This window comes from Homo sapiens, chromosome 7 (assembly GCF_000001405.40).
Source record: "Homo sapiens chromosome 7, GRCh38.p14 Primary Assembly".
In the NCBI taxonomy this organism is placed as follows: Eukaryota; Metazoa; Chordata; class Mammalia; order Primates; family Hominidae; genus Homo; species Homo sapiens.
The window spans coordinates 105,203,946-105,219,210 of NC_000007.14; the positions used below are offsets into that span (position 1 = coordinate 105,203,946).

General features: G+C 39.3%; 1 protein-coding gene across 34 annotated transcripts in view; it reads right to left on the reverse strand.

The window, feature by feature from the left end:
- Nucleotides 1-15,265, reverse strand: part of SRPK2 (SRSF protein kinase 2) — a 284,618-nt gene that overhangs the window by 89,206 nt on the left and 180,147 nt on the right. Inside the window, exon 2 of one of the 34 annotated variants that reach the window (XM_047420775.1) lies at nt 2,456-2,584. The exons of the other annotated variants lie outside the window; for them this stretch is intronic. The gene's annotated coding sequence lies outside the window, so the exon portion shown is untranslated. The remainder of the gene's footprint in view (nt 1-2,455; nt 2,585-15,265) is intronic. 34 annotated transcript variants of the gene reach the window in all.

Genomic DNA, 15,265 nt, shown 5'->3' on the forward strand with positions numbered 1-15,265 from the left:
GTGTTTCAACATATAAGTCAGGCCAAAAAAAAAAAAAATCTGCCCTTATTAGCTAAGGAATTTTTTTCTGTAGGTATCTTTTCACTTAGCGCTTCAAGAACTACCAATGTTAGGAAATTTCAGTGCGCTCCACTCAACTCCTACCAATTCTGGGAAATTTAAGTGAAATGAAAGCGTATTCCATGGTATATAGCCTTATTGGTTAGAAAACATCACAACGATTATAAAAAGACAGGCGCAAGCAGCACTCAACTTTTGAAAGCACTTATTTCCTGTTATCTGAAAATGAGAATTCTTTTCCCATAGAAATAGGTGGCAATGAGGTTAGGTTTCAATAACTCATAAAAGCTGATTAACATACACTGTAGCTAAAATATACAAGATTGCCAGAAAGATTCTTGTACTTCTATAAGGCCTGTTCGAAGTTTTGAATGTATTCTGGAAGCGGTGTGTGTGTGTGTGTTTGATTGATTGAGATTATTCCCTTTCAGGGCTCTATGAGGAGAATGGTTCATAATGGGATTCACTTACTATTCCTAACCATGCCCCAGTGCGGGGAAATAGGACCCTACAGTCTCAATCTGGATGCCGGAAGCACATCTCTCCCTTAAGCTATCCCACTAATAAAACTACCACTGAATGCGTGCGCTGAAGATGACGGCTGCTGTGGAAAGGTTGCTCTGAGGGTCAGTTGCCCGACATGTGAGTGCCATTCCTTGGGGCATTTCTGCAACGGCAGCCCTCAGGCCTGCTGCGTCTAGAAGAACAAGCTTGACAAACATATTGTGGTCTGGTTCTGGTCAAGCAAAATTCTTTAGCACCAGTTCCTCACACCATGCACCTGCTGTCACCCAGCATGCGCCCTATTTTAAGGGTATAGCCGTTGTCAATGAAGAGTTCAAAGACCTAAGCCCTAGTTGTTGAGAGCAGGTGGAATCTTGGTGTTATTGCTAGATTTCCTTTTGGAACACTGTTGCTCTCTGCCCAGTGGAAGGCCGATTCTGGATCCTTTCTCTCCTCACTGCAGCACAGCCTGCGGCATACAGTCAAAGCTCACTCTTCAGCCCTGGAATCTTGAGAAGGTCAGGGTCTTAGCAATGCAAGCTCATCTGTAGCTGCCACTAAGAGACAGGCCAAAGGAGCTGCCTCAACCACTGCCTCTTCTAAACTGGGCCTCTAAATCCTTGCCCAATCTGAGAGCCTCCAACACCACCACTAATGCATGTGGCTTGCCAACAAAAAAACCCATACGGCCACAACTGAAGGAAGGAGTAGGAATAGAAGGCAGCAGAAACACCTGACATCATGAGGAAGGGGTGGGGATCACACACAATAGGTCAACTTAAAGGCAAATAATCAAAGGTATGAATATCTTTAGCAGGACAACTAAAGAATATTTATAAGCTGAAAATGTACTGATTGCTGCTTTCTGGAATTTATGAAGACTCAACAGTTACAGCTCCCTGGGTAACAGACATCAGGATTGTAGTGATGATAACACTCCAAGTTAACCATTCTCTTCACAGAGCCCTGAAAGAGAATAATATTCATTCTCTCTCTCTCTCTCTCTCTCACACACACACACACACACACACACACACACACACACACACACACACACACACCACTTCCAGAATACATTCAAAACTTCCAACAGGCCTTACAGAAGTACAAGAATCTTTCTGGAAGCCATGTAAATGCTCGCTTCTTTTTAACACATGTGCCCTTACTGAAAGTGGAATGGTCCCAGGCAAAAGAGAGTTCTGAAGGAGGAGAGGCAAGTAAGGAACTTCAGTAGTTTGCCACTTCCCCAGCGGGAGGAAAAGGTTTGAGATGACGTCCAAAAGAAGCACAACCCACTCTTCAGGGGTGTGGGCAGAATCAATTTGTCTGACACATTTCCTCAATGAGAAATACTTTGAAAGCTAGCTGTTTCTTCCTAACTCAGAAACTTTATATAAAAAATGAGTACATTCTCTGAAAACACACACACACACACACATTGAGTTTGCTGTAGAAACTACTTGAAGAAAAGACAAGAAATGATGGCTCTTGTGCTGCCAGTGCACGGCACTACTGTACTTAGCACAATGGATTCTTGGACTGGATAATTCATTGCTGTGGGGCTGTCGTGTGCACTGTGGGATGCTTTTCACCATCGCTGCCCTCCAGCCACTATATGTCAGTAGCACACAGCCCCCCACCCCCACCCCACCACCCAGCTGTGGCCATCAAAAATGCGTGTAGACACTGACAAATGTGTGTGTGCTGGGGGAGGAGGGGAGTCATGCCCATTGAGAACCAGTGCACTAGTAGCATTTTCTATATATGGCTTTACCTCAATGGAGTAGACTGCAGTATGGAGAAGAGATTCTAATTTTCACCACCATTTTCTCTCACTTGAGAGATTCCCGCACCTTCATTATAATGTCTCTCTCACTTACTCTTTACCTACCTGCTGAGCTGCCTACATGGATGACCCTCAAAATTCTCAGACCCTGCAGTCTAAGTGTGTAGGCACTTCTCATTCCTCCAGTGAGGGCCACACTGAACAGGCAGACAGAAAGCTTCTTAAAAGCCAGCTCTACCAAATGAAAAGTGGTAAGTCAGGATACCCCAAAGTATAGAGGAGGTTTAGTAATGCTGATTAATAGTTCAACTGGCTGTCATATCAAAACATCTAGAACTGTGCTGCCCAATACAGTAGCCACCAGCCACGTGGGGTTATCGGGCACATGAAGTAGCTAGTTCAAACTGAGATGTGCCAGAAGTATAAAATACATGTTAGATTGCCAAGACTCAGTACCCAAAAAAGTAAAAATATTATATTAATAATTTTCTACTTGCTCAATATTAAAATGTTTTATACACGAGTATTTCTAGTGGATGGTAGAACTCTGGACCTTTCAGATCCAACCTGTACTGAGGGGCATTTCAGCCTCACGTTGAGAGATTCCTGGCCATAAGTGATGATTATCTTTCCTAGGACTTCTAATGACCTACTTCATACTAATTATCACCAATACTCAAATCACTCAGTTCATCACAGAAAGTCTCAGTTCAATGTAACCGCCAATTCTTTTTCATCCCTCCATCCTTGTTACTGTCTACCACATAGGAAAATCAAGGTAAATTTCTCCTAGGGCAGAAATAGAGAAGAGAAAGCCAAGCCATACTGTCTTAGGGCTGGATTATTTTATTTTCATTTTGAGACAGGGTCTCGCTCTGTTGCCCAGGGTGGAGTGCAGTGGTGCATCCACAGCTCACTGCAATCTTGAACTCCTGGGCTCAAAGAATCCTCCTGCCTCAGCCTGGTGGGTAGCTAGGACTACAGGTGTGTGCCACTGGGCCTGGCCAAGGCTGGCTTCTTTAAAGTGGTTTCTGATGGCTTCTAGAGTACTGCAAAGCCTGGTTAAATTACAACACTGTAGAAGACCAAGACATGACAGGTTATCTCACCAAATACATACTCATTAAGTCTATCAACAGATTAAAAAAAACAACTTTCATCAATCCTAATGAAAGCCGTAAGGAAGCTATTTCATATAAAAATTATCAGAAGTATATAAGCAGCAATGGCAGTGGAAATGACCCATAAATATTTTCAACAACAATACCAAAATAATTAAATGGTAAAAGAATAGTCTTTTCAACAGTGGTACTACAACAAATACATACTCATATGCAAAATAAATAAAGTTGGACCTCTCTCTCACACACAGGCTTTACATGAAAGAGCTAAAACTATAAAACTCTCAGGAAAAAAACATAGGAGTAAATCTTCACGACCTTAGGTTAGGCAATGTTTCTTAAATGTGACATTAAAAGCATAAGCAATACAAGAAAAACTAAATTGGACTTCAAAATTTTTAACTTTTGTACTTCAAAGGGCACCATCAAGAAAATTTAAAGGCCACAGAATGGGGGGAAGTACTTGTAAATCATAAGTGATAAGTGATAAGTGACTTGTATCTAGAATATATAAAGAACTCTTCCAACTCAACAATAAAAAGACACACTAATTTAACAATGGATAAAAAGGATTGGAAAGACATTTCTACAAAGAGGATATACACATGACCAATAAATATATGAAAAGATGCTCAACATCATTAGTAATCAGAGAAATGGAAATCAAAACTACAGTCTGACACCACTTCATACCCACTAGAATGGCTATTAAAAGAAGTCAGATAATAAGTTTAAGGAAGGATGAAGAAATAAGGATCTTCAAACATTGTTGGTGGGAAGGGTAATATAGCATAGCCATCTTGGAAAACGGTCTGGCAGTTCCTCAAAAGTTTAAACATAAAATTACCAAATAACCCAACAATTCCACTCCCAAGTATATACCCAAGAGAAATGAAAGCATATATCCAGCAAAATCTCATCCACAGTGTTCAGAGAAGTACTACTATTTTTAACGAAAAGCAGAAACAACCCAAACGTCCCCTAACTGATAAATAAAATGGGGTATATCATTACAAGGGAATGTTATTCACTAACAAAGAGAAATGAAGTACTGATATATGCTACAACATGGATGGATCCTCCAAAACCTTATGCTGGGTGACAGATGCCAGTCAGAAAAGACCGCAGGTTGTATGATCTTCCATTTTCCATCAAATGTCTAGAACAGATAAATTTATAGAGATGGGGTAAATCAGTGGATGCTCATATCGGGGGTTGGGGAAATGGAGAAAAAAGGAGGAAAATGGGGACTGACTGCTAGTAGATATGGGATATCTGTTAGGAGGGATGAAAATGTCCTAATGTGGTGATGGTTGTACAATTCTGTGAACATAATAAAAAACACTAAAATATATATGTTACATGAGCAAACTGTATGCTATGTGAATTATACTTCAAAAAGCTATTGTTAAAAAATAAAAGAAGCCAGGTGTGGTGGTGCACACCTGTAGTCCCAGCCATTTGGGACACTGAGGCAGGAGGATCGCTTGAGCCCAGGAGTTTGAGGCCAGCCTGGGCAACACAGCAAGACCTCATCTCTACAAAAACAACAATAAATTTTTAAAAAAATAAAAGAAAACCCCAATACAGCTATAGATATTTTAAATATCCAACACTACACCGTTATAAAATGTATGACTTCAAGAAACAAATATCTATGTAGAGATTTAAGCAATCAATATGCATAGTCTCTTTTACAATAAGCTCAGCTACATTCAGAGTGAAAATTAATCTGTAATTCTTTAAAAAGGAGACTGAAATTTTATCTAAGGGTCCAAAGTTTAAACAAGGTGCTAATTTAAGAACATGTTTTCATGTACTATAAGAAATATAAAGAAATATACCACTTCAGGCCGGGTGCAGTGGCCCCCACAGGTGATCCCAGCACTTTGGGGAGGCCACAGTGGGTATATCAGTTGAGCCCAGGAGTCTGAGACCAGCCTGGGCAACCTGGCAATACCCACAAAAACTACAAAAATTAGCTGGGCGTGGTGGCACACATCTACAGTCCCAGCTACTAAGGAGGCTGATGTGAGAGGACTGCTTGAGCATGCGAGTCTGCAATGAGCTAAGATCATAGCACTGCACTCCAGCCTGCATGACAGAGTGAGACCCTGTCTCAGGAAAAAAAGAAAGAAGAAAATAGAAAAGGAAAAAGGAAAGGGGAAAGGGAAGGGAAGGGGAAAGGAAAAAGGAAAGGGGAAAGAAAAGGGGAAGGGGAAAGGACAATGGAGAAAGGGGAAAGCAAAGGAAAAGGAAAGGAGAAAGAAAAAAGAAAAAGGAAAGAGAAAGGAAAACAAAAGAGCAAAGCAAAGCAAAAGAGAAAAAGAGGGGAGGAGAGAAAAAAGAAAAACACAGCACTTCAGTGATGGGAATGAAATTAATTTAGAAAGCAAAATTCCACTAGCTACTTATATTTTTCACAAAGAACTATATTTATTTTTACACTACAAAGAAAATTCTAATCATTACTCTAAATTTAAAATGTGGTTTAAAAAAACTTAAAAATATTTTTCTTTCAATATCATACTATAATACTAAAATTATCATCATGCTATGTACTTCATACTATATTCTGCATGTACACTTGCTCTGTCAGAAAAGGGAGGAAAAACTCAACAACCGAGGAAACTACAAGTCTCATCTGCTCTAAATTGCCATGGCAACCAGATGAGAGTTCCGATTTCCTCTCAGCTGCTACTGCGTATTTCTTTTCAGCAGAGAAAAGAAAAAATAAACTCTACATTTAGTAGGAAAAATGTCCTCTCCTTTGCTATCAGCTTAGATGGCAACTGACACAATTTAAGAAATACAGTTCAGTTAATTTTTAATCAAACATAAAGAAAAGGAGCTCCAGATGAATTTCTTCAGTTAGTATTTGAGGGACATTCACATAAAGTCAAATTTCATTTTCTTTCCTCCCTATGTCCACCCTATATCTATAACTTTTCTCTCTCCCTTCCTCCCTCCCTCCTTCTTCCTCTCTTGGTAATTACTGTCAGCTTGAGAAATACCCAATTTCTAATTAATAGTAGAATCGGTCAATATAGGTTGAGTATCCCTCATTCAAAATACTTGGGACCAGATAATGTTTCGAACTTCAGATAATTTCATGTATTCCTCTTTAATGAAAGGTTAAGTTCAAAAACTTTGTGTAAATCAAACCTAAATGTGCAATGACCCTCAATGACCCTCATCCATGTTAAATCTCCTGCTTCTCTTGAGTATGGGTAGATCTGTGAGTGTGAGATATTACACCTGTTATCCAATTATCTACACTACATGCCAAAGGGAGATCACACTGGGTGGCCTGACCTAATCACACCAGTCCCTAAAAGCAGAGGGTTTTCTTTGGCTGGTCAAAGAAGTGGAAGCGGAGCGGCGGGCTCCAGCTGCCTGGAAAAAAAGCAGACATCATTTGTGAACTAGGGCCACAGAGAGCAAAGAACTGCCAGTGGCCTCTAGGAGTGACGGTGCTCCCTGCCAACAGCTAGAAGAATAGTAAGATAACAAAGACCTCAGTTCTACGAACTCAAGGAAATGAGTTCTGCCAACAACCAGTGAGCTGGAAAAGAACTCTGAAGCTCAGATGAGAGCTGCAGATCTGGCCAACACCTTGGTTTCAGTCTAGTAAGAATCCAGCCACACTGTGCTGCCCTGATTTCTGTCCTACAAAACTGTGAGTTAATAAACAGGTGTTGTTTTAAGCTGCTAAGGGTGCAGTAATTTGTTACACAGCAAGTGAAAGTGAATACACTGCCAAGTTCCTCAAACTGTACTAGAGTAGATCATGGAGAATTATCAGACTTTGGCCTCAAAAAGATCTGATTTTTTTTTTTTTAAATAATTGAAATGGCCAGGGGACTTAAGCTGGGTAATCCAGAATGGGAAACAGTTCTCTTTTGGGAATAGGAGTATCTTATTCCCTGAATGAGTCCATTCGTGCATTGCTATAAGGAAATACCTGAGACTGGGTAATTTATAAAGAAAAGAGATTTAATTGGCTCACAGTCCTGCAGGCTATACAGGAAGAATGATGCTGGCATCTGCTAAGCTTCCGGGAAGGCCTCAGGAAACTTACAATCATGGTGGAAGGCAAAGGGGGTGCAGGCGCAACACAGTGTGGGAGCAGTAACAGGAGTGAGAGTGAGGGGGGAGGTGCTACACACTTTTAGAACAACCAGATCTCAGGAGAACTCACTGACTACCATGAGAACAGCATCAAAGTGGAAATCTACCCCCATGATCCAATCACCTCCCACCAGGTACCACCTCCAACATTCGGGATTACAATTCAACATTAGATTTGGGCAGGGACATAGATCCAAACTATATCACTCCCCAAGTCCTAATAGCAAACAATTGTAATTCCAAGCCAAATACTACTTACTTATTTCCTAAGACCATACTGTTTTCTAGAACGTAGTACACAGCCAACTCAAAGTTAGTAAGGATGTAAGTAAATCAGACCTGCTTCCCAACTAATCTACATTTTAGAAAAGAAAGGAGTTGGTGTTCTAAAGGTATTGCTGCCTGATCACCTCACTGAGTTCTGAGTTCAGGTTTTTATCATCTATTTCCTGGACTAACTTTTCCTCATTAATTTCCTTGTTTCTTGCTTTTATCCTTCCCATTTTACACATTAATTCCATATATTCTTTGCAAAAAGCAAACCTCTGGTTCTAAAATTGCATTTCAGCACTACATATGTCTTATGCCACTAGTACTATTAATATTTTATAAAACACTTGTGGGATCTGACAGAAAATATTACTACTGAAATGGAGAAAGACTGACAGAAAAGTTAAACCAGTGAGTCCAAATGCATGTAAAATGACATCCACTGATTCTACAACTACCCAGAAGCACACAGATGCCCAGCACTGAGGGGTGTACAGTCTAGTGAGGAGGGGAAAGTGCATGTAAACACACAAATGTAAGCAACTGCTCCTGGTATCGTTATGGAAACAGAGATGGTAGTGGGCCAAGTCAGAGACATCTAGAGGTGATCTTACAGACTGGCCAGAATGAGGCTGACTGCAGGAGGTCCATGTCTCAGGGAACCACATCATCAAAAGCACAGAGGCCCAAACTAATCTGGTATGACTGGAGAGAGGAAAGAGGTTAGGCATAGGAATAATCCACAATTCAAAAGAATAAACCACAATGCTAAGAAGCTTGGGCTCTATCCCTGAGGCAAGTAGTAGCCACTGAAATGCAACCATAGAAACAAGGATTAGCTTTCTGCAAAAAACATATGAAATTAGAGTGTAGAACAGGTAGAAAGGATAAAAGCAAGAAGAAAGAAAATTCATGGGAAAACGCTGCAATTGTTAGTCCAGGACAGAGATGATTAAAAACTGGAACTCAGAACTCAGTACAGTTGTTGCTCTGTATCCATGCATTCCGCATCCATGGATTCAAACAACTATGGATCCTAAACATGGGGTGATGGCTACATGTGTACTGAACATGTACAGACTCTTTTTTTGGTCATTATTCCATAAACAATTAGGTATTACAACTATTTACATAGTATATACACCATACTAGGTGATGGAATCTAGACATAACTGAAAGTATATAGGAGCATGTGCACAGGTGACATGCAAATACTAAACCATTTTATATCAAGGACTTGAGCATCCATGGATTTTGGTATCCGAATGGGATCCTGGAACCAATCTCCCACAAATACCTAAGGACAACTCTAATTCATTTGCTAGAAGTGGATGTTTGACTCTTCATTTCTGGTCTGAAATACTGTACCATTCATTTCGACAGAGAATAGAGCAGGTGGATGAAGAAGGGAAGGGGTTTTAGAGAAAAGTAACCGGCTCTAGCTCCTCTGAGTTTCACAGGCAAGTGGGATACCAAGCAGCATAGAATACGGTAGGGATTGCTTGATATATAAAATCTATAGCTGAAAAGTAAAGGTTTGAGCTGCAAATTGAAGCAAAGGTGATTGAAACTGAAGCATACTGAAGCATGACCATGCAGCTGGAAGCCAAAGCCTTTCCAAGCATGTAAGAGTGCTGGGGAGAAACTGGGGAATAAAAGAGCCAAGGGAAGAGCCCAGTTCAAAGCCGAAGAACAAAGTTAAACAAGCCACCAACATTATAATCTATAGTCAAGGACCCCTACTATAATTGCCAATATAAGTTTTAAGTGTCAAATACAGATTTTAGAGCACATACATATACAAAAGTAAGCCTACCTTTTACATTAGGATAAGATATACATATAAGAAGAACAAGCAAACTAAAGACCCATACGCTCTTCTATCTAAAAGCTATGTTTGTAGACAATCTGAAGCCAGCTAGGTGCAGAGTGAATAAAATGTCACAAAAAAGGAACTGTTTACTAAGACTTATATTGGTGAAAGTTGCTATAACAACTAACGATTGCCTCATGCTATTCAGGAAATAATGTAAGATGTACCACTTTACACAAGCCTTCTGCAAACTTCCACAAGCTTTAGATCTAAAGGCATACACAACTACTAATATATAATGGATCAACAAAATTCAAATGCAGTCAACTTTCTACCTTCTAAAGTAATTTAGAACACAGGAAATAAGGGAAATCCTAAACCTGTGTTACACAATATGGTAGCAACAAGACAAATTAATTAAAATGGAATAAAATTAAAAATTCAGTCATCCTCCTTCAAGCACTCAGTAGTCACATATGGCTGGTGGCTATGGCACAGTATGGGCAGTGCAGATATAGAACATTTCTATCACCACAGAAAGTTATATTGGACAGTAATGCTGCAGGCTCTAGATGCTGTAGCACTGCTCTAGGCATTTTTTTAAGGAGCATGAGCCTCTTCCAGCATATCACTATTTTTAATAAGTAGTAAGGTTAGCTGAAAAAGAGTTTAGAACATTTTTTATACAGCTTATTTTAAATACCTTACTGTAAGTTTTAAAATAAGCAGTAAAATGATAAACAGTCAGTATATAGCCATTTTAAATTTCACAGATGATTCCAATATCTGATACCCTGCAGCTCAGTAGTTCTCTTTAGTAGAATTCACCTTAGTGATACACACACTCTGTGGCAATGTCTGCAAACAGCAATATATTGGGATCTAAATGTCTATCAATAGGAAACTTGTTAATAACATTATGATAAAATTATGGCACAACCATACAAAACTCTCAAAAAGGATGAGGCAGAAGAAACAATTCTAGTCACAATAATAAAGTACATAGAAATAAATTAAACAAAAGAAGTTTAAAACGTACTATGAAAACTGCAATATCTTGTTGAAATTAAAGACCTAAATAAACAGAAGACATCCCATATTCATGGATTGGAGACTTAATACTGTTTGCCAATATGGGAAAATGCCCCCTACAGATTCAACAAAATCCCTATCAAAATCCCAGCCAGCTTCTTTGCTGAATTTGACAAGCCATTCCTAAAACTCATATGGAAATGCAAGGTCCCAGAATAGTCAAACAATCATGAAAAAGAAAAACACAAAACTGGGGGATTCGCACTTTCCAATTTCAAAACTTACTACAAAGCTATAGTAATCAAGACAATGTCGTACTGGCATAAGGATGAAGACCAATGGAACAGAATTGAGGGTCCAGAGATAAAGCCTTGCATTTATAGTCAACTGATTTCCAACTGATTGCCAAGACAATTCAATTGGGAAAGAATAGTCTGTTCAACAAATGGGGACGGAACAACCGAATATTCACATGTGAAAGAATAAAGCTAAATTCTTACCTCCCACCATACACAGAAACTAACTCATAATGGATCAAAGTCCTAAATATAAGAGCTAAAATTATAAAACTCCTAGGAAAGAGACACAACAATACTAGCCATCAGAAACATGAAAAAATCAAAACCACAATGAGATACCACTTCACACCTACTAGGATGGCAATAATCAAAAAGACAGATAACGAGACGTCAGTGACGTACAAAACAAGAGAACCCACAAGTATTGATGATGAAAATGGAAAATGGTGCAGCCAGTTTGGACAACAGTCTAGCAGTATCTCAGAAAGTAAAAAAGAGTTATGATGCAGCAATTCCACTCCTGGCATATACTCTGCAGAAATGAAAACATGTCCACACAAAAACGTGTACATGAACACTCACAGCCACACTTTCTTATAGCCTAAAGTAGAAACCACCCAAACATCCACTAACTGATGAATGGATAAATTAAAATGTGGTATATCCAATACAACAGACTATTACTCAACAATAAAAAGAAATGAAGTACTCATAGATGCTACCACATGGATGACCCCTGACAGCATTAAAGTATTATAAATCAAAGCCAGCCACCAAAGACCACATGTATGATTCAATTTGTATAAAATGATTACAATAGACAAATCTATAGAAACAGAAGGTAGATCAGTAACAGCGTAAGGCTGGAGGGGTACAGAAAATAGGGGTGACTACTCAAGTGTATGAAGTTTTTTGGGGGGGTGATAAAATAGTTATAAAATTAAGAGGGCTGGGTGCAGCTGCACAAGCTGATTGTCCCAGCTACTGTGCAGGCTGAGATGGGATAATCACTTGAGCTCAGGAGTTCAAGGCTATAATATGCCACGATCACACCTGTAAATAGCCACTGCACTCCAGCCTGGGCAATAGAGCATGACCCCATCTCTACAAAAAAAAAAAAAAAAAGTTAAATTATGTGGTTGATGGTTGCACAACTCTGAGTATACTGAAAAACCACTGAATGGTATACTTTAAATGGGTAATTACATGGTGTGCAATTAATCTTTTAATAAAGTTGTTATGCAAAAATAATGAAACACTTCTACATGTATTAATATGAAAGATATACACACTGATGAATAAAAAGATGCAGAGCACTGTGTATGCTATGTATCATTTGTTTTACACAGACATCCTAAGCACTGGATGGAGCAACAAGCCAATAATGGTTGTCTCCAGGAAAAGGAACTCAGTGACTGGTGAGATGAAGGAAAGGAGGTAATTTTTTCAAGATTCTTATCACCCCCCAAAAACTCCTTTCAGGAGTTCAAGACCAGTCTGGCCAATATGGTGAAAACTCATCTCTATCAAAAAAATACAAGTATTAGCAGGGCATGGTGGCACGCGCCTGTGGTCCCAACTACTCAGGAGGCTGAAGCAGGAGAATCACTTTAACTCGGGAGGCAGAGGTTGGCAGTGAGCCGAGATCGCACCACTGTACTCCAGCCTGGGCAACAGAATGAGACCCTGTCTCCAAAAAAAAAAAAAAAGAGAGAGAGAGAGAGACACCACCACAACAACAAAATAACTGTTACAGTCATGGTAAAGTTGCAACTAATTATCCTAGGGCTGGAGAGTCAAGATACAAGCCACAGTCCAAATGTACAGCTTTCTGGTAACAAGGCTCTAGGTTAGGCTGAATACCTGTTCCATCACTTACCAATCCATGAGAACTCAAGCCAGTGACCATTTCTCTAGGCTTCTGATGCACATTAGAGTGTTGTAAATATTAAAAGAGATGACACATAAATCCCCTGCCATGGTAACTGTGTACATGGTAGGCATTCAATAAAGGTTAATCCTCACCTCCCCACTCTTCTGGTATGTGGTGACAATAAAACTGTTTATTCAGGGTTCCAGCTGTGACCAATAAATACACCTTGATACATTACGCACGATACTGCTACAGGCCTTTTGGCATATCTGGAGTTCCTCCCATTCCTCTCTGTTCATCTCTGACTATCCTAACTGCAAAGGTCAACATCGATCCCACCACCTAACAACCCTCTGCTTCTAAATCTATGTATTTTATAATCATGATTAGTTAAGAGATTTCTTGAGAAGGTTACAAACAGTTAATTATCACATACTTCTACAAGGCAATATGACAAAGGCAGTATTTGGTGAGAAAAAAAAAGATTTAAAGTTGAACATAAAAAGTGACTTACCTAATTAAGCGGAATAGAAATTCAAAACATACAGTGGTGCTGAGACTAGCACCCATGAAACCAAATACTATAAATTATTCTCTCTTGCATTCACAGAAGACACAGAAGACACTGTGCCATACAGCACAACTGTATCTGACAAATGAAGACTGTCCTGAAATGTATCAAATCCATATACCTGACAGAGCAGGACTAAAGCCCCACCAGTGGAAGCATCCCACCAATGCAGACTGATACTCTCAGAACTGATTTTCTCCTTCCCTTGTGTCATGAATCTTGTGATTCTAACCCACAGTTCCAAATTCTGCAGGATTATCCCAAGTATAGAGAATATTCCTTATTTACTTGTTCAAGAAATACTTACAAAGCTCAAACTATTTTACTGCTAAAATGAGAAAAAAATGAGTCTTTTCTCATGGTACCAGGAATCTAACAGATAGATCAGATAGAAATAAAAATTAGAGCATAAAACAAGGCAGAACGTAGCTTGATAACATTACTTCTTTAATTAACTCAAGGCATATTCAATGTATCCAATTTCCAGTCTCCTGTATAATTCCCAGGGGATACAATAGCAAAAACAAAACATGTGGAAAGGTATACATGTTCTCTCCAGCTGGCTGAGTGCCTAAAAATTCTCAAAGAAAGGAGAGAAAATTGAAGAGGCCTATGACGAAGAAAAAGGTGTCAATAGATCTAGCTAGGAAAGGGCGTTCTAGGCAGGAGGACATGATGGCCTGAGCAGGAGAAGGTATGGCAGCAAGAAAGGGCTCATCCACTTCTGCCGGCACACAAGGTACCCAAAGGAGAATATTGGCAGAAGTGCTAGAGAAAGGTTGAGACCAGATTTTGACACCCTGGGGTGAAGAATTTGAAGTTAATTTGCTAGGAAATAAAATGCTACACAAAGTTAAATCTATTTCTTTCGGAAGCTATAACACAATAGTTCTCAAATAGAACTATACAGCACAAACAAGTGGAAGTTTTTCAAAATGCAAAAGTGAGAATCAAGAGATTCTTCTGACTCAGTAGGTCAGGAATGTAGCCTGGGAGCATGTCACCAGGTGACTGATACACACCCATGGTTAAGAATCAATGCTCCAAGGAATCATTACCATCTCTAACGGGTGTCAACTGGCAATGCACTAACGTGAGTTTATGGTCCAAACACAAGTAAGGAAAGTAGATACAAATAGACGTAGGTAAAGAAAGGCAGATAGAAATAAGAATTTGTAATGGTCCAAAAGGTTTAATGAAAAGGACCTCCACTTATAATAAATGATGTTTCCTAAGAAGTTACTGCATGAATCAGTTTTCAATCACCTACTACAAGTGAAGTAAAACTAATTTTTAGTGAATTCTATTAAAATATAAATAATCATACCACAATGTATTTAGAGTTCCAACTCAGAAAAGCATGCCTAAGGGAGTTATAATTTAAGCATGACTGGGGACTGAGTGACACCTTAAATATGACTGATAAATCCTATTCATTTTTCTTTTCTCCTTCGTAGTTGAAAAGAAAAAGAAGAAAACCCCAAAGAACAAATAAAAGAAAAAAAATCAAGGAACAAGAAATTCAACAATTTTTTTTAAAAAAATAATGAGAATAGAGAAGAGATGACAACTAGAAAGAACATAAGCAGCTATAAGCAAAAGTGGCCGCAGAAATAGATACTGACCAGAAAACAGTCCACCCTGGGACCACAAGAGCTTCAGCACTACAACCAGGGGCGGGGGAGACATTCTGGGGGATGATGCTGGAGACACATAGCTTCGTTGGATGGAGTGGTCGGCGCATACTTCCCACACTCCCACACCTCCAGTGTAACCAGATCACAATCTTTTCCAAGGCAGAAGAC